Consider the following 21,335-nt stretch of genomic DNA (forward strand, 5'->3'; position numbering starts at 1 on the left):
CTATTAATCTCTTAGTTCCTCAAACATGCCAAGTTCTTTACTGTTGAAGAGAGTTTGCACATGTTGCTCCCTCTACCTGGAATGCACTTCCTATACTAGATCTTTCTCCACCCTTAGATTATAACAGCCTCAATGTAACCTCTTCAGAGAAGATTTCCCTGACCTCCCTCTAATATTATACCCCTTGTGCCAGTTATTTTATGCCACTGCACTTTTTGTATTTCACAATTAGGTTTCATCTACTTGTTTATTGGCTGTGTCTCCCACTAGACTGTGATCTGCACAAGGACAGCAGTAAGCCCAGCGCCTAGGACAATGCCTAACACATTATAGGCAATCAACAAACATTTAAATAATTAATCAGCTTTATAAGAATTTGCAAAATGACATCCATACTGGGAAAATAAATAATCTCTTCAGCCCCAGCAACTCTTTTTTTTTTTAATTTAGGGTTTTTTGAGGTTTTTTTAATGGTCTGCATATACCACACACTACCACTGGCACTTTTACATATTACCTAACTTGTTTTTCTCAATAAATTTTCAAGATAAGGATTATTCTCCAAACTGTACTTATCAAGAAGCTCACAAGCAATGAGATAAGGTAGGTCACTCATAATGATACAGAGTGTCAGGGATAGAACCCAAATCTAACTCCAATCTTCTGAAACTCTCTTGATTATACCCAGGGCTGGCTTCGGGGACATGAGATTGGTTTAATTGCACATGGCCCCATGCTGTAATGTTCTGCTGTTGCCATTTAAAATTATTAATTTCTGAATATGGGGACTTGCATATTTATTTTCCACTGGACCCCATAAATTATACAGATGCTTCACAGGTTTTGCTGTGAAAAGCTTCCTTGACTTTATTCCTATTAGCTCGGCATCTCAGAAGAATTTAGGATCTAAGAACACTGATTTACACTGTGCTAAAAGTTGTAAAGTACTTACTAAGGCGTTAAGACCAAAAAAAAAAAATTCAGACCTAATCCCAGAGGTAATTCTCGATTTTTTTCCTCTGTCTTCAGAAACGCCTGCTTATCTCCTTTTTATGTCTGCCATTTTATGATTTCATCCTTGAATAAAAGATTACTTCCCCAATTTTACTCTTTCTAATCCCATGAAACTAGATTTTAGACATTGGTAGTCAGCTAAGAAATGGCTTTGTATAATGCAGTATTGCTCCTGGTTAGTGCATTATTCACAAATTCACTAAAACCACAAACAACTGAATTGATTAATTATACCTTAGAACAATAATGCCTTACGGTATTTTTTTTCTTCAGTGGTCAATGATTCCATCTTGTACCATGGAGTCCAGGTTGTTGTTGATAGACTCAAAGTGGTGATACACATCTCTCCTTAAACCCTCCTCAGTCTTACTCTAAAGTTTTTATAACTGAGGGGTTCTCAAACTGTCATGCCCAGACCATCAGAAGCAGAAGCAACACCTGGAAACTTGTTAAAAATGCAAATTCTCACACCACACTTCAGCTGTATTTATTTAGAAAATCCAGAGGATGGGACCCAGTAAGCTGTGGTTTAACAAGCCCTCCAGGTGATTCTGATATATGCTAACATCGAGAACCACCATCATAGATAATGGTCACTAAAATAGTGTTATCCTCACTAGCAAAGACATGGAATCAACCTAGGTGCCCATCAACAGTGGACTGCATAAAGAAAATGTGGTACATAAATATCATGGAATACTATGCAGGCATAAAAAAGAACAAAATCATGTCATTTGCAGCAACTTGGATGCAGGTGGAGGCCATTATCGTATGCAAACTAACACAAAAACAGAAAACCAAATACTGTATGTTCTCACCAAGTGCGAGCTAAACATTGGGTACAAATGGACATAAAGATGGAAACAGTAGATGCTGGGGACTAGTAGAGGGAGGAGGAGGCAGGGGGCCAGGGTTGAAAAACTACCTCCTGAGTACTATGCTCACTTCACTATCTGGATGATGGATTCAACTGAACTCTCAACCTCAGCATCACACAAAATACCTTTGTAACAAACCTGCACACGTACCCCCTGGATCTGAAATAAAAGTTGAAAAAATAAAATATAAAATAAAATAAAATGTGTTGTCATAATTTGGGTTATCAACTAAATCACCTGAGGACCTTTTCAAGCTATAGTTTTCCTAACACTGCTACAGAGATAGAAAGTTCACAGGCATGGTATAGTCCATCCAGTAGCCTGTTTTTTTGTTGTTGTTGTTTGTTTTTTGGTTTTTTTTGAGACAGAGTTTCATTCTTGTTGCCCAGGCTGCAGTGCAATGGTGCAATCTCAGCTCATTGCAACCTCCACCTCCTGGGTTCAAACAATTCTCCTGCCTCAACCTCCCAAGTGGCTGGGATTACAGGCGCCCGCCACCATGCCCGGCTTTTTTTTTTTTTTTTTTTTAGTTGAGATGGGGTTTCACCAAGTTGGCCAGGCTGGTCTCAAACTCCTGACCTCAGATGATCTGCCCTCCTCAGCCTCCGAAAGTTCTGGGATTACAGGCGTGAGCCACCACGCCAGTCAGCCTGTTTTTTTTAAACAGCTTTCCAGGTGATTCAGATGGCCATCAAGTTTGGGAACCCTTCTCCCATGGAGTGGCTGTTTAAAATCAGTTACATATTTGGATGAACAGTTTTACATTTCATCATTGAGTTTCTTCAGAATTTCTGGACATGTGCTTTTTGTTATTGTTCTTAGGAACTGTGAGTGTGTATGTGTGACTGTTTATATCATTGATGAATCTCTACCAAGCTTGACAAATGTAATCTAAAACTACTAATTCTGATGCTTCTGGCATGCTTCAGCAGCCAATTTGCAAGTGATACTAATCTAAAAGACTTGCCTAATGAAAAACATATAACACACAGACAAATTTTTAAAATATCAAGAGCAACAACGAAAATGGATTTATACTTTCTCATGGCTCCTTTTAATCCTTGAGTAGGTACTGAATGAATACCTTATAATCATCAAGTTGACCCAGATTTCAAGAATTTGCTTCTTAATTTAAAAGCAAGAACTTCATGATTGCACCGCACTCCAACCTGGGCAACAAAGTGGGACCCTGTTTCAAAGGAAAAAAAAAAAAAAAAAAAGGAAACAGGCTTTTTATCTAGATATAAAGAGCATTTTATTGAGGACCTCATCTTTGCACAATACTGTATCTCATTGGTTAATCTCATTTTTGTCCTGGTCATCAGCCAGAGGGAAACTGGAATGAGAAAATACTTTGACTAAAAGTGGATCTTCACTGTTCTCCTTAACTCATTTCTCCCAACTACCTTTCATATTCTTCAGAGGGATAAGAGTAAATGTTTTTTCTGGTAGCTCACCTGTCAATCTTTGCTCCATATTTCAGAAAAGTAATGGGTTAAAAAATAATAATAAAAGAATAAAAGAAGAATTGCCCTACATTTTTTTCTATTTCCTCCACTTTTCAAGACTATAGAATGTAGAGCCAGGCACGCTGATTTCAAACCTAAACTTCATAACATTGGGCAAGTTATTTAATATCTCTGTGCCTTAGTTCCCTTATCTGTAAAATGAGTACAATGAGGTTGTCATAAGAAATAAATGATTCAATATATGTAGATCTCACAGAACAGTTTCTGGAACATGGAGTCCAACATGGGTAACTATCACTAACATTCTCATGTCACTGCAGTTGAATCTGCCCTGTGTAGTTGGAATCTGCAAATACACAGCTTCCAGTATCCTAAAGGCCAAACTACATCATCCTGCTTTCAATAAAACATTTTACGGTTCTGTTTGTGATTTCCTACATTACTCACAGTGTATACTGCAAAGCCTAGGGTTGTTTTGAATCCCCTAATCTTTCCCTAAGTGTTACACAGTCCCCCAATTCATAGATTGAGGGGAGCATTTGTGCACATAGGTTTGGAGTCAGACCTGGGTTCGAATCTCTCTCTCCTACCCCTCTTTTCCATGCTGACTGCTCTAGCCTCTTTGGCTGCCTTCTTGTTCCTCAAACACATCAGGCATGCCCCTGCCTCGGGACACTTGTACTTGCAGTTCACTCTGCATGGAATGTCCTTTCCCTCATTTAGTATCTCCATGGCTTGCTCCCTCACTTCCTTCTGACATCTACCTAACAGCAACAATCAGATAGCCTTTCTCCTTAGCTCAAATGGTGCCCCCTCTCATTCTCTATCTCCCTGTCTTGCTTTATTTTTCCTCACAGCACTTACAATCACTAGATATTTTATTACATATTTATTTGCTTGCCAGCGTATCTTCTGCTGGCCTTCATTAGAATATAAGCTCCAGGAGGGCTGGAACTTGATAAAATGAAAATGTTACCCACATAATCAGATTGTTGTACAAATTGAATGAGATAACACATATGAAATATTAAACTTTTATAAACAAAAAAAAGCTTAACAAAATGCTAAGCATACATCAAATATTCATTTTCCCTCCTCTTCTCATAACAAAGGAAGAGGGTCAGCACATTTTGCTTCTCTTATATCCCTACCAGATGGGAAAGAATGGATGGAAATTCTTCAATTCTATGGTCACTACTTAGATTAGCAGCAAAAGGCAACATGTCCTAATTAGATTTTAAATATACTTGGCTTTAAAGCTGTAGTCTTATAGTTTTTATAAGCATACAGAGTGAGATTAAATAAGAATGCTGGTGGCTGGGTACAGTGGCTCACACCTGTAATCCCAGCACTTTGGGAGGCTGAGGCGGGTGGATCACAAGGTCAAGAGTTCGAGACCAGCCTGGCCAATATGGTGAAACCCCGTCTCTATTAAAAATACAAAAATTAGCTGGGCATGGTGGCGTGCACCTGTAATCCCAGCTGCTGGGAGGCTGGAGCAGGAGAATCGCTTGAACTCAAGAGGCGGAGGTTGCAGTGAGCCGAGATCATGCCACTGCACTCCAACCTGGGTGAGAGAGCGAGACTCCATTTTAAAAAAAAAAGAATGCTTGTGAAAGGGGTATTTTTGATTAAATGATTTTCCAGTTAATCATCAACTCTTCTTTCGCCCATTGATTCTGAACATTTCTCTTTCTGATCTGAATGCAGTTTCTTGCCATAATAAGTAGGAAGCATAAAACATAAATCCATCCTCTTATGACTGAGTACAGTGTCTTGATTGAGGGTCATTGTGATGGACATCAATACTTATTTGATACAATTGAAAATATTGAAGATATAGCATATTGGCTTGACTCTATTCTAACCTTGAGATAAACCAAGGTAATAACTTCCCCAAATTAAACTCCTAATGAAGACACTTATTTGTCTCTTGTCATATTTTTAATAGTAGATATCTCACACACACACACACAGAGAGAGAGAGAGCCCACTTAACAAGTGTTCCGTAAGTTTCACTTGATGAATTTAAAGTTTTCTAGATCTGGTTTTGATTGACATCACATAAAGAAATAACCAGGGCTTATCTAAAACTTGAAAGGATAAGTAAATGTTTCAGCACATTAAAAAGATACTGGAAATAAAGTCTTCAGGTCATGTAAATACAATTATATTGCCCTATTTTTAATTTTTTTCATTCAATAATTCTCCTCAAACTAAGCTTGTTTGCAGGCCTGCAGACAATATAGTTTCATTATCAAGTACTGCCTTGACTTAGTCTCAACATCCATAGTGACCTTTAAGCCAACTTCAAGAAGAAATCATCTTTGTGAGGGAAAAGACACACATTAACGTTGCTTACACTCTTTTTATCATCTTACCTCTGACTCACGAGTCAGTAGCATATTGACAAAAAATTAAAGGGTAGTTATATTTGAATTCTTTCTCTACCTTTTCCCAGCTGACCTTGGTTAAAATAGACTTCACTTCTCTGAAATTTTATTTCATCTTCCATAACTTGTGCATCAAAATAAAACCCACAGTGGAATGATGATGAAAGATTACATAAGAGATCATTGAAACAGCCTGGTATTAATAAATGCCAAAATTATGCTCATTTTTCTCTCTTACTTCATCTTCTCTCTGTCCAGGATATGAAACACCAAAGTCTACAGGATTTTCATTATGCTCTTTCACTTACTTCACACACAATTACTGAGTTTCTACAACATGCCAGCCACTCAGCAAGATTTGGGAATACACTGATGAATAAAATACAGTCGTTGCCCTGAAGGAGATCCTAAACCAAAGGACCCGATTATACTCTATGTACATATAAGGATTTTACCCAGGAAGAAGCAATAACATCCAGCCTTCTAGAGGTCTTACAATGTGTATGATTCATAAACTATGCAGTAATACAATATCCTGTGAATTACCTCACTGCTCACATTAATACAGGACCATGATGTTATCATACCAGCCTAACAGTCTGTCTCCATCGGTGGACCCAAAGGCCTCCAGTTATACAAGATACAGTATGATTGAAAAAATAATGTTTTCTGTCCCCCAACTGTATTCAATGGGTAATGAGACAAAAGTAGGACTTTTTTTTTTTTTTTTTTTTTTTTGGCTTATCTCTGGTTCCTTCTGCATACATTTTCATGGCCTATTCATTTGGGATGTTTGGTCTTAATAATATGAATTAAGCTCTTGTTTTAGTTACTGTTACCAGTGCATTCTATAGTTACATTCAATAACTTGATGAACCTTCAAAGCAATGAGCTCTTTTTGTAGCTGTAAACCAGATCATTCTCATTTTGTCCTAGGCCTTGGTAATTTGAATCATTATTGTTTATCTTTTAAGGAAAATTTAATTTCATTTAGTGTGGGAGTATCTAATGCTTTTAAATGCATAAAAACTCATTTCTTTGTCACAAAATGGCTGTCGATAATTTAGAACATGGAAAACAATTTTAAAGTTTATCTTTTTGTTCAAAATGTGTGTTTAGAGGGATGACTTTGTGATATGAAGCCAAAAAATGGGACTAGATCCTATTCTGAAACTGGTACCCACTCTGGGCAATGTGTTGGTGACAGCAAATGTCAGGTCCAATTATACAACTTCCTCTCAATAAATCTTGAAGGGCTTCTTTTATTAGAGAATTTATAAAGACAACAACAACAAAAAGACATATAATGAATACTCACCAATTACCTTAAACTTAATTATACACACAAGTTGGAATAGTAATACTAATAATATATAGTATAACTACAGTAAAATCCTTAGTTAGGAAAGATAAAGGGAAAAGCGTCTAAGAGTGAAGATCCAAGTCTTTTTGCCTTTGTCTTCATTTCTATGCTGTGCTATGAATATAATCTTCAGCTTTCTTTACTTTTTGTTTCATGCTTCACTGGTACTTCTTTGCAGCCATGAATGACCAATTGCAGAATTTCTAAGCCTTCATCTCTGATATGGTTTTGCTATGTCCCCACCCAAATCCCATCTTGAATTGTAGTTCCCATAATCCCCATATCATGGGAGGGACCCAGTGGGAGGTAATTGAATCATGTGGGCAGTTACCCCCGTGCTGTTCTTGTGACAGTGAGTGAGTTCTCACAAGATCTGATGGTCTTATAATGGGCTTTCCTCCTTCGTTTGGCATGTCTCTTTCCTGCCACCGTGTGAAGAAGGACATGTTTGCTTCCTCTTCTGCCATGATTGTAAGTTTCCAGAGGCCTCCCCAGTCATGCTGAACTGTGAGTCAATTAAACCTCTTTCCTTTATAAATTACCCACTCTCGGGTATGTCTTTATTTGCAGCATGAAAACAAATACAATATCCAACCATCAGAGTCTCCATCAGCTGTGTATCTACAAACATGGTTGTTAATTTTTCTCTAATTCTGAACAAGTGCTGCAATTTTAAGCTCAAAACTTTCCCACAGATACAAATGAGTGTTGTAGACACATAACCCAAGATTACCTGCTACACATGCTATAGGCAAATTGGCTTTATATCTCTCTGACTTTTGACAGGAAGATAGCAGCTCTAGGTCGGATGCTTCACATCCCCTAGCTCTTTGTGCTTCTAACACATAGAAGCTTTATGCACTTTGGAAATTTCCTGAATTATCATAGAATGTCATCCTGAGGCTGGGCACGGTGACTCACATCTGTAATCCCAGCACTTTGGAAGGCCAAGGTGGGCAGATCACATGAGGTCAGGAGTTCAAGGCCAGCCTGGCCAACATGGAGAAACCCCATCTCTACTAAAAATACGAAAAAAATTAGCCAGGCGTGGTGGCGCGCACCTGTAGTCCCAGCTACTCAGGAGGCTCAGGCAGGAGAATCACTTGAGCCCAGGAGGTGGAGGCTGCAGTGAGCCGAGATCATTCCATTGCACTCCAGCCTGGGTGACAGAGCAAGACTCTGTCTCAAAAAATATAAATAAATAAATAAAGTCATCCTGTTGTGTGCTAAATGTTTGTGTCCCCCCCAAAATTCATATGTTTAAACTTAGTTCCCAAGGTGATGATATTAGGAGGTGGGGTCTTTGGGAGATGACAAGGTCATGAAAGTGGAGCCCTCAAGAATGGGATTGGTGCCCTTATAAAAAAGTTCCACTACGTAAGAACACAGCAAAAGACAGCCACCTAGGAAGCAGGCCTTCACCCTCACCAATCATCAAATCTGCCAGAACCTTGATCTTGGACTTTGCAGCCTTCAATATGATAAGAAATAATTTTCTGATGTTTATAAACCACCCAGGCTATGGTATTTTACTAGAGCAGCCTAAATGGACTAAAACACATCCTCTGTGACAGATATTCTAGGGAAAACTATCTATTTATTGTTTCCATGAAGTTTTATAGTTTAATTGTTCAAGGCCCAATGTGGTATGACTTCAGTTGTACTTGCAGTAATTTGGTTTTTCAGCTCAGAATTTTCTAGACTTCTTCACAAAGCCATACTTCCCTAAAATAGGCCCATTTTTGAAAAGAAAGGGAGACCCAACTTCTCACCTTATTTGATGTTAACATTTTGAAGACTGTGTTAAATTTTTCACCTTTCTTTCTTGCCTATTAACAGTGATGTATAATAATTATCTATTACTATAATCTTTATTTATGGAGCAAAGGAGACACTTTTATCAAAAATCAGATGTCCTCAAATAACAGGAAAAAATGGTAACAGCTCCATTTTAAAACTAATTATAATGCAAACTTTCAACTTAAGTGTTGTTCTCATTCATTGAGAAGAAAAAAATAATAAAATATTTACAAACTATTAATAATTGCATTTTGCAATATCCATGGAGAAAATATTAAATAAGAATATTCAAAAAATTATTTTACCTGTACAGCTTCGATTTAATTAATCAATAACTCAAATTTACACTATCTGTTCATGAGTACAATCCATTGGTTTTCTCACTCATTTGACCCATCTTATTAAACTTTTTAGCAGACTAATAATATAATTAAGACAAGTTTAGTGTACTTATAATGTGAATAATATATAAAATATGTATAATTACTATCTAATAGTCTTACAAGATATCATGTTATATGCCAAATTCTAGTTTCATTTCTCCCCTCTGTAGCAAGAAAGTCTCTCAGAAGTCTTTTTCACATTTCTTTCTTCTATAGCATTTGAGTCTTTATCTTGTAGGGAGTGGGTGCTCTTTAAAACAAAACATTCACATACCCAAATTTACTGAATATCCACTAGTAAGATAGGCAATTTCCTCTTCTACTGCCAGCACTATAAATTCAACACTCAGAAACCCAAAGTGTGCAAGGAACCTCATCTATTCTGTTCCTTTGTCTACCAGCAGAACCTCATTCCAAATACATGAGTATTTATCATGGATTTAAAGACACCTTAGAGAGAATCATTCAACACCATCTCCATAACATTTTCTAGTGAAGCGTTAACAAATCAAAAAGTAATATCTCAATGCCTATGGAAGGCAGAATAATAACCTCCCAAGGAGGTTCACATCCTAATTTCCAGAACCTGTGAATATGCTACTTTACATGTCAATGGGGAATAAGGTAGCTAATCATTTGACCTTAAAATAAAGAGATGGTTTTCAATTACCCAGGTGGGCCCAATGTAATCATAAGGTTCCCTAAATGCAGAAGAGAGAGGCAGAAGAGGAGAATCAGAAAAAGCAATGTGATAGCAGAAAGGCCAAAAAGATGTAACTTTACTGCCTTTGAAAATGGAGAAAGGGACTGATATGGCTTGGCTGTGTCCCCACCCAAATCTCAACTTGAATTGTATCTCCCAGAATTCCCACATGTTGTGGGAGGGATCCAGCGGGAGATAATTGAATCATGGGGGTCAGTCTTCCCCATGCTAGTCTCGTGATAGTGAATAAGCCTCACAAAATCTGATGGGTTTATCAGGGGTTTCTGCTTTTGCTTCTTCCTCATTTTCTCTTGCTGTCACCATGTAAGAAGTGCCTTTCGCATCCTGCCTTGATTCTGAGGCCTCCCGCCTTGATTCTGAGGCCTCCTCAGCCATGTGGAACTGTAGGTCCGATTAAACCTCTCTTTTTTTTTTCTTTCTTTTTTTTTTTTTTTTTTTTTTGAGATGGCATCTTGCTTTGTCACACAGTCTGGAGTGCAGTGGCTTGATCTCGGCTCACTGCAATCTCTGCCTCCTGGGTTCGAGCGATTCCCCTGCCTCAGCCTCCAGAGTAGCTGGGATTACAGGCACGCACCACCATGCCTGGCTAATTTTTTGTATTTTAGTAGAGACGGGGGGTTTCACCATGTTGGCCAGGATGGTCTCAATCTCCTGACCTCTTGATCTGCCCACCTCGGCCTCCCAAAGTGCTGGGATTACAGGCGTGAGCCACCACTCCCGGCCTAAACCTCTTTTTCTTCCCAGTCTTGAGTATGTCTTTATCAGCAGTATGAAAACAAACTAAGACAGGGACCATGAGCCAAGGAATGTGGGTGGCTTCTAGAAGCTGGAAAAGGCAAGCAAATAGATTTTCATCTAGATATTACAGAAACACAGCCCTGCTGACATCTTGATGTGTAGTCCAGTGAAACCCATGTCATACTTCCGTACTACAGAACTGAGATAATAAATACATGTTACTTTCAGCCACTAAGTTTGTAGTAATTTCTTATGGCAGCATTGGAAACTTAACACGATGCCCAACACTTTTTTAAATTCTGAAAGCAGAATCTTTAATACAGAAATAGTTTGACAATATATTTTTACAAGTTATATTTCTTAATAATACTTTAATTGGCCTCCACAATTAATGGGTCAAATATTTTCTTCTAGTTAACTGAATACAATGCCCCAATTAAAATCTAAGGCCTGACAGTACACTAACAAATTAATGCCATCACACAGCTCCTATTATTATTAGCTCAACTTTTTAAAAACTGTCTCAAACATTTATCTTGACTATTACATGAATTATAACTCAGAATGAGAAAATAGTTGATGAAGGAAGTTTCTGCTTATAAAATTATTTCAGCTAATAAATGAAAAAGGAAAGACAGAATCATAATATCACTATTTTGCAATGCCCAAATAAAATAATGGATCTTGGCAAACTCCAAATAAAGGCCAGATCCATTCCATTATCAGTTTTTCTTAGCCTGTAAGCTAAGAATAATTTTTGCATTTTTAAATGGTTAAAATATCAAAAGAATAATATTTCATAAGGTAAAAATTATATGAAATTCCTATTTTAGTGTTTATAAATGATGTTTTGTTGGAACACAGCCATGACCATTTATTTACATAATGCTTATGGCTGCTTTTGAAAGAACTGTAACAGCAAGAATTGAATGATTATAAGAGACCTTATAGCCTGCAAAACCTAAAACACCAGCCGGGCGTGGGGGCTCATGCCTGTCCTAGCAGTTTGGGAGGCTATGGTGGGCGGATCACCTGAGGTCAGGAGTTTGAGACCAGCCTGGCCAACATGGTGAAACCCTGTCTCTACTAAAAATACAAAAATTAGCCGGGAGTGGTGGCAGGCACCTGTAATCCCAGCTACTAGGGAGGCTGAGGCAGGAGACTCACTTGAACCCAGGGGGCGGGGGTTGCAGTGAGCAGAGATGGCACCACTTCACTCCAGCCCGGGCAAAAGAGCGAAACTCCGGAAAAAAAAAAAAAAAAGAAAAAAAAACCCTAAAACATTTACTATTTGGCTCTTTGAAGAAAAATTTGCCAGCCCCTTCTCTAAGCAATCATCCCCAGTGGTGGCTAATACCCAAAAATGAGAGACAGCCAGAACACATATGAAGTATTGTTGCCAAAAACTCAAATTAAAACTGATCTAGGCACCTGGTCAAATCACTAGTTCATAGGAAATACAATGGACAGAGAAACATCTGAGATGACACCATTGGGATGTATTCAGCAAAATACAGAATGTAGAAAACTGTGCAGGATAAGTACATTTCTCTGACAAATAATTGTTGAGAGGAAAAGAAAAGAGATCAGGAGAGGGAAAACCATAGACTAAAAAGGAAAATTATAATGTGTCCACTACAGTTGGATTCTAATTCAAACAGAATTATGAGATAATCAAGTAAATACAGTTCTAACTTAATATCTGTGGGTATTAAGAAGTTTTTTTTAAAATTTGATAATAGTGTTACAGTTTTGTTTTAATAGAGTCCTGGGTGGTTGCAGTGGCTCATGCCTGTAATCCCAGCACTTTGAAAGGCTGAGGTGGAAGGATCACTTGAGCCCAGGAGTTTGAGACCAGCCTGGGCAATGTGGCAAAACCCCTTCTCTACAAAAAAAAATATAAAAATTAGCAGGGTGTGGTGGCGCATGCATGTAGTCCCAGCTACTTGGAAGGCTGAGGTGGAAGAATCACCTGAGCCCGGGAGGCTGAGGCTGCCGTAAGCAGTGATTGTGCCACTGCACCCCAGCCTGGGCGATAGAGTGAGACTCTGCCTCAAAAATAAACAAATAAATAAATCTTTCTCTTCCAGATATTTTTTAGAGGAAGTGATGTAATACCTAAGACTTGCTTACAAATAATCTAGTGGGAGAGAGAAGAAATAGAAAATAGGGATATAGATGAAGCAAGATTGATTTGTCATGATTTGATCATTATTAAAGCTGGGTTACAGGTTTATTACACCATTGCCTCTACTTTTGTATATGTTTGTAATATCCCACAATAAAAGAAAGTTTTAAAAACATTCCTTCCCAAAGTCCTTGAGCTTCATGAAGAGATTAATTTTATAACTACAATCTATTTCAATACATAAAGAATCCAGTAATAAAAATGCCAAAAGCAAAAAGTATCATATTTCAATATAGTATGGATTTTATATTTTAGCCCCAAGAATGTCAATAAACTACCTTTGGTAAAAACATAGAAGAATGGACATTTCAAGGACCAGGATCTGCTATAGGAAATAATCATCTTGGAAAAGACAAGCTGATTTTATTTTCTAAAGCATTTTCAAAACCAGCCCAATACAATTAACAGTCATTACATCATGGATATGATCAACAACATTCTAATTTCAGAAAAATTAAAGACCATAAACAACATCTCCTGTCAAACAAAAGCAACTTCTGCTTTTTACATGCATTGTAACAAGTCTAGTCAACACCAATATTTAGATAACTGTTTCCATTCAGTGAATAGCTCTGACCAGACACTGAATTAACTATACACATCAATACACTTAATGTTCATAAGTCATCCTGGGGGGCAGGTATTTTCATCTTCATTTTATCATGATGGAAGACAATAAGATTCAGTTGCAAAACCAGCGAATGACCTGAACCAGGCTGGAAATCAAGTCTGTCTAATTTGAATGTTAATACAGTCTTAGATCGGAAGGCCAGCACTACTCCCCTGCTGCCCCATGCAAAATTTTGGCTCAGGTCAGAGACTGGGATCCAGACAATCAAGGAAATGGCATGGGGATATTTTAGCTTATTTTAAGACATTTTATTTATTTCAAAAAAATATGAAGAAAAGATGGCAAATTGTTCATCTCTAATGTGTATTATGATTATGTGGATTATTTTTGTCATGTTCTCTACTATTTTTGTATATTTGAGACTAAGTTTTAAAAAAATAAATACAATAAATACTTTTCTTAGGCTGGGCGCAGTGGCTCACACCTGTAATCCCAGCACTTTCGGAGGCCAAGGCAGGCAGATCACGAGGTCAGGAGATCGAGACCATCTCTGGCTAACACGGTGAAACCCTGTCGCTACTAAAAATATTAAAAAAATTAGCCGGGCATGGTGGCGGGCACCTGTAGTCCCAGCTACTCGGGAGGCTGAGGCTGGAGAATGGCGTGAACCCAGGAGGCGAAGCTTGCAGTGAGCCGAGATTGAGCCACTGCACTCCAGCCTGGGTGACACAATGAGACTCCATCTCAAAAAATAAATAAATAAATAAATACTTTTCTTTATTAACAAAACACTGAAGTGAATCTTAAACTCACTAGGAAAGGAAGAAGGATTATCCTAGCAGAACTGGGGAGAAAAGAGTCATAGAAATATAATTCACCCAAGGCTACACAGCTAATAATGGACAGACCAGGATTCCAATCTAGATCTGCTCAGTTCCAGAGCCACCATACTGTACCATACAAATATTTGCACTTGCTGTCATTGTTGTTATTTCTTTTTCTCATCTAACTTGTCTCCCATTCACTGCACTGGTATCTATCCTCATGACTCATTTAAAATGACTCTCAGAAAGGTATTATTGCCCTCTTTCCAAATTGCAAAATCCAAGTGACTGTTTTTCTTCCTCATCTTTTGAGAAGCAGGCATAAATGTCTCAGAAGCTTTTTCTCCAAATCTCCCACCACCACACTTAAAGAGGCATTGACTACTTTAACCTTTGCTCCAATGTACTCTGACTATAAAGCTAGACTTTGTATATCTCTGTGTTGTCACTTTGCATATTTCTTGTGTTAAACTATCAGCTCTATTAGAGAGGCTGTCCAGTACTTACCATGGTGCCTAACACTTCTTAAGTGTTCAACAAAAGTTAGATGAATGTTTCTTTAAACGTTGTTCTCTATAATCCTTTCATTTTTGCTTTACCAGCCCTCGTTTGGCTTTGCAAATGAAAGAAATAAAAAGTAAAAGCAACACATGGAAGACCATCACAGCTGGTCTAACAAAATGAAAGAAATATTTTCTTACTATTTATAAGTTATTTTTAATGATTCCATTGTTTTTAAAGATCTAGTAATTAATCGCAGGAGAAGCTGTTCTAATATCTTTGGGAATAATGAAAACAGACTTAAAATCATCACAATGCAAAGATATTTTACTCCTCCAAACTTAAAGTATTTGAATTAGGCATTTTCTAACATATTCGTGGTCCTCAAATTAAAGCTGAAACTAAATTAAAATTTTTAATTCACTGTGATGAGGAGGAGGAGCTTGTTGGTTGTTATATTAATTACTAGAGAAAGATATTATTTCAGAAATGCTTCAACAAAATGGACCATTATCAGAAAATGGTCTTTTTTTTTTCACACACAAAAAAAATCACAATAACCAGAAAATACAACTGTATTCCTGAGCAATACAACATTGTCCCTTTTTTATTTTTTTAACAGAGTGAGTAAAAGGCAGTAGACAAAAATCAACCTGTCAAGAAATGGTTTATACAGTAATGGGCTAGCACTGCAGGAGATTCGCTCTGCTTTCATCAGGAGAGCCCTTTGTGTAACAAGAACAAACTACTAAAGGTTTAATGACATTGCAGTAGCATATTAGACACTGAAAAAGGAAACAACAATTCTTTTCACCCAGTTGCCATTGCTTCTACGATAGCCACAAAGGACCTACTAGCCACGTAATCCTTAAATGGGCAATTGGTTGGGAGATGAGTTTTTCTGACTTTAGTTTTGCCTTTGACTCGGCTTTTTTTTTTTTTTTTTTTCTGAGACGGAGTTTTACTCTGTTGCCAAACTGGAGTGCAAAGGCATGATCTCGGCTCACTGCAACCTCTGCCTCCAGGGTTCAAGTGATTCTCTTGCCTCAGCCTCCTGAGTAGCTGGGACTACAGTCGCGCACTACCACCCCCAGCCAATTTTTGTATTTTTAGTAGAGATGGGGTTTCACCATGTTGGCTAGGATGGCTGCTATCTCCTGACCTCGTGATCCACCCGCCTCGGCCTCCCAAAATGCTGGGATTACAGGCATGAGCCACTGTGCCCGGCCTTCTTCATTTATTTTAAGACCTTAAAGAATTCGCTTTTAGCAGGGAAAACTGGAAATTACCTAGTAGGCTCAAAGAGGGCAAGTCAACAACAGAAACGAATGGTAGGTTTGTTTGTGGATCCCTCCTGCACGCACAGCATCTCAAACAGCTGTGAGAAGAGTAGCTTTGGTAACCAGCTGAAATGGACTTGCTTACTTGGCAGCACTGTGCTTTCTACATACTCACTGCTGTTTCCATACACTCTCTCAGTTGCCCACTTGTCTGCACAAGGTGTGATAATCTGTGGTTGGTACCTGCTGATAAGGGTAATTATAGCATTAGTGGAAGCAAGAGTGCTGTCTAAGGTTGAAAAACAACTCTAATTACACCTCCATCATTTTACTCCCTCAGCACAGTTTCTTTTTTTCCTTTTACAGAGTTTACTCAGAGACTAAATTAAATCTGCATCTATTTGAAAACAAGCTTTTAAATAGCTGTGGGGGTAGAAAGAGAAATCTCCTTTTAAAATTAAAAATACATACATGCTAAGTGCAAGGGAAAGGGGGGATATGGAGGAGAAAAAAGAATATAAATCCATTTATTACCACTAAACTATACACTGAAAAATGGCAAATATGGTAAATTGTACATGTATATTTTACCTAAATAAAAATAAATAAGTAAAGATAAATGTGTGGTTAAATTTAAATTAAGGTTAAAAAGGAGAGCATATAATTTGGGAGAGGATAAATATACTTAATTGAAATCTAAATTATTTTTCTCTTTTTCCCAAAATAATGCTGGATTTTTTTCTTTATATTCTGATTAAAAAATTTGAGATGAAATAAAAATACACACATGCTGTGGTGAGCAGCTGACATTTGTAATGCGAGACAGCACTTGCTGAATCACCTTTCAATAGATTTCCATGCATTTCTGCACAGATAGAATCAAAACAAATAGCAGGAATAACAAGAACAATAATTCACAAAGAAATATGAAATCCAAATCTTATAGAATGGAGACAAAGAAGTCTTAAATTACTTTTATACCTATTGACCAATTCAACACAGACAGTATTTAAAACATTAATATCCAGAAACTTAATTTGATATCTGAATTTCAAATGTATAACTTTCATAATAATAAAACTATGAAATTAATATACAACATCTTTACATTTACTAAAAAACAGTTTAGATTTGAAAAATGACCTATGACGCAATCTCAGAAAGGAACAATTTCCAAGGAATGAATATAATTAAATACCACTTTACCGTATCGGAATTTTATGATTTGGGGTGTAATTTAATATTGTAGATTAATGGATTATAGCAAAGCAACATGAATTCATAAAGCTTCCATTGTAAACCATGAAGCCTTAAAATATGGGAGAGAAGATGTTTCCTGAATTACAAAAATGGAAAAAAAAAAAAGTCTTTTCAAATCAACAAGGATTGATTTGTTAGACACACCCACTATTGTGGTCCAGAACTTGAGAACATGCATTTTAAATGCCACTATTAGGACACAGAACAGCTGCCCCTTCCTTCAGCTATTGCACAGGGCAGCACTGCTTCTGCCTGTCACCAGAACAGAAGCAGATCCAAGTGGGCAGTGGCAGGGATAGCACACATTTTCTACTGTAGGCCTGCCATACTCCATAAGAGCATCAAGACTTCATTTACTCCAAAGAGACTTCCAGAAATGCAACTTTTGGGTTTCTAAGATTAGCGTCAAAATCATGGAGTTACCCAACCTCTAAGAAAACCCCTACATATTTAGTGATAAGTAGGTAGGAAATCTAACTGTCAAAGTCAAGTCAAGCCGACCTCCCCTACACTTTACATACCAAAAGAGCATGCCTCAGATCATGAATAAAGTCTTTCTGGATACCAGGAGTATAGCAGAACTCTCCTTACTAAAGAAAATATCTTCTATTAATTATGATGTATGCAATGCTTTGTTGCTAGTGAAAATGAAAACTAGGTCAGGCACGGTGGCTCATACCTGTAATCCCAGCACTTCGGGAGGCCAAGGCGGGCAGATCACGAGGTCAGGAGATCGAGACCATCCTGGCCAACATGGTGAAACCCCATCTCTACCAAAAATACAAAAATTAGCTGGGTGTGGTGGTGCGTGCCTATAATCCCAGCTACTCAGGAGGCTGAGGCAGGAGAATCACTTGAACCAGGGAGGCGGAAGTTGCAGTGAGCCAAGATTGTGCCACTGCACTCCAGCCTGGCGACAGAGCAAGAATACATCTCAAAAAAAAAAAAAAAAAAACTAATACAATCATTCCCCTTGAGGACAGAGTCATGGACTATATCATTCCCTCGGAATAACTTTAACTGGAAGTGATTTCAAGAATCCAACTAAAGCAGAGAAGAGAGTAACAAATGTCACATTAAAAAAACAATTATTTTATATTCTCAAAAGAAAAAAGATTTATGAAAGCCCCCATGTTTTACTATTAATCAAATTTTTCCACATTTTTCTATTTTGTCTTCAAAAGACAGAGTGAACCCCTCATATTTTCTTTGTCAGGATGGATACCACAATATTTTGGGGACAACACATAATGAATAAGATTCACAGCTACATTATGGAATATCTTATTTATTCATAAGAATAAATAAAGAACAGCATTAATCATATTAACTGCTTTAATCTTTACAGGTTAGGCTATTTTTTAACAGCTCACTTTAAGGGAGAGAAAAAATCTTACATTAAAGATTAAAAACTTTTATAAGCATGTCTGCTATAAGCATTATGATTTCCTTCCTCCTGTTTGCATAGATAAGTTGGGTGTCTCACTTACAAATGAAGTCAAAACTCTTTGTTAACAACTATAGAATCAAACCTTGGTTCAAAACCACCATCTTAGCTCTAAGATTTACAAAACCTCACTATCTTTGTTTAAAACACTGATAATTAAAAATTATAGCTAGAAGCACTTATTATTAGGGTTTTAGAAGAAAATCAATATCAAACTTGCCATGCAATGTGAGAATAAGCACAGGCTTTTGCCTTAACTGGTTTTTAACTGAATTACTAATGTTTCAATTAACAAGTACTACAGAGAACTACAGCACCATCATCACCCTTAGCAAACAGGAGGACATAGTTACTTTTCCAGATGTCTCTGGTTGTCATGGTACCCTCTTAGGCTCTTTTCCCACATTTTTATTCTAGGTAACAAACCTGCAATCATTTACTCTAACTTATAACATAGTTATATGAAGATTTTATATGTTCCTGATATAGACTGTGCACACACCTGTTGAACAGAATAAAAAATGCAGCATAAGAAGTTCCTTAGATTAACACTTAGACTTCCTATTAAAAAGAGGATTGAATTTTTAGTTCACATACTTGATAAAAAACAGATGTCATGAATTTTATATTTTCCACATAATTTATTTCAGAAAAACCTATCTTCAGATTAATATTCTTTTGTAAAAAATATTTTCGAGTACACATTTCTAAACAATATTTCTACACCTGAAGTAAAATCACTTGCCTTTTTAGCGGTGCTATACCCATATTTAGATGAAAAAACCTGCTCACAAAAAACATTAAGTATTTGAGAAAAATACCTGAAATTTCATAACATTTTTGTAAACAAGCAACCAAAATAAACACACCAAAAATTTCAAATGTTTATATTACATTCTGTGGAAGTAATGTTTAAACATCTTACTTTTCAGGGATTAATTTTTATCCTTCAATGACGACTTCCCAAAAACAGAGCAGGGTAACATTAATCACGCTGTGGGATCAATGCTTATGTACCATTCTCTCTTTTAATTAAATCAAAGTCTCTTCAATATACAACATCTGCTGTCAAGCCCTTTGGATGTAAAACAAATACACACACACAAACACACACACAGGCTGGTATTCTTAATGATGTTTGGGAAGTTAAAAGTGGTGTATCCTCCTTCCCCAGGAGCAACAGGAGGACTTTGCACTCTCTTCTAGAACAGCGTTCTCTCCCTCTGGGATAAAGGAAAACATAATATTCACATACTCAAAATGCAAATGCAGCTAAAGTTTTTTATCAACTGCACTTCTCTACACACATATGATGCCTATATTAATTTCACTGGAGTGCTTTTATTGCACTAATTAGACAGTGAAGAGGAGCTGACACATGGGAAAACTTGTCTGAACGCTGTATATGTTAAGCAGTAGGATTACAAGCACCTGGGATATTCTTGCTATTCTCTGTATGCAAATGACATCCTGCAAACAATTAAACGCTCCCATTAAAATGGTGGGGGTGTGGGATGGAAAGAGCAAGTGCTAAGAGAGTAAAAATATGGCATGCCCTTTCTATTCCGCCCTCATTCAGCGGAGGCCGAGTACCTTCGACATGCTGCACAGACAGACCCTTGGGAACGTACACAGGAGTCACAATACACTCGACAACGTCTCACACGCTCTGTTAACTGCAAAACTCTTATGATCTAACAGCGAGCCCCCTCGCCTCTCGAACATGTTTTCAATTTTTGCAGAGCCGCCAGAGACGTCAGGAGACCCTCCCCTGCTGAAGGGAGGGAAGACGTTCCTTCTCGCCCTTCCTCACAGCCCCCAGCACTCTATTTCATTAGAAGCGGCGCCACAAGTTCCCTGGCTCTCACCCTTAGGGAGGCAAGTTCAGCACCATGGAAAGGGCTCAAGTCGCGTGCGAAGGGAGAAAAGAAAGCAAAGACTGGGGCTCTCCCCCGGCCACTCACCGGCGTCTGCTGCGACGGGAGTCCCGAGCGTTTGGTGGACCCCTGCTTGGAACTTAACCTTTTCCACGACTCGGCAAACCTGCCCCGGCTGGCGCTCCGGCTGCGTCTGCGGCTCTCCGCGTTGTCCTCGCGGTCGGAGCAGCCCCGCTCCATTTCCGCCGCATCCCTCCACTTCTTCCCCATGAGAAGTTCGCCTCCCTCGGCCGGGAAACAGCCCAGCGCCGAGCGCTCTCGCTGGCTCCTCGCCGCGGGTCTCCCTCCAGCCTGCGCGCGGCTCTCGGTTGGCGCTGCCTTTGCCTCCGCCGGCTCCTGCCAGAGCCCCGCGCTCCGTTACCGCCGCCGCCACCAGGCTGCGCTTGCGCCCGCGATTGGCTCAACTGTGGGCTGGGGCTGCGAGCGCCACCTGCGCCCGAGCCAGCTTTCTTTTGCGTCCCCAAATTGCTCTCCACCCGGCAGCCGCCGCCTTCTCTGGAGAGTGCAGGGCCCACGCCTGAGGCTGTTGATGCGCCGCAGGGTAGCGCTCCCAGCGGTCACCTCA

General features: G+C 38.4%; 1 protein-coding gene across 4 annotated transcripts in view; it reads right to left on the bottom strand.

The window, feature by feature from the left end:
* Window positions 1-21,116, bottom strand: part of TRPM3 (transient receptor potential cation channel subfamily M member 3) — a 917,912-nt gene extending 896,796 nt beyond the window's left edge. For all 4 annotated transcript variants that reach the window (NM_001366143.2, NM_001366141.2, NM_001366142.2 and 1 more), the window contains exon 1: window positions 20,798-21,116. In NM_001366143.2, the coding sequence (NP_001353072.1) occupies window positions 20,798-20,980 (183 nt within the window). In that variant the 5' untranslated portion in view covers window positions 20,981-21,116. The remainder of the gene's footprint in view (window positions 1-20,797) is intronic.

The sequence above is a fragment of the Homo sapiens genome, chromosome 9 (assembly GCF_000001405.40).
Source record: "Homo sapiens chromosome 9, GRCh38.p14 Primary Assembly".
NCBI classification, from domain to species: Eukaryota; Metazoa; Chordata; class Mammalia; order Primates; family Hominidae; genus Homo; species Homo sapiens.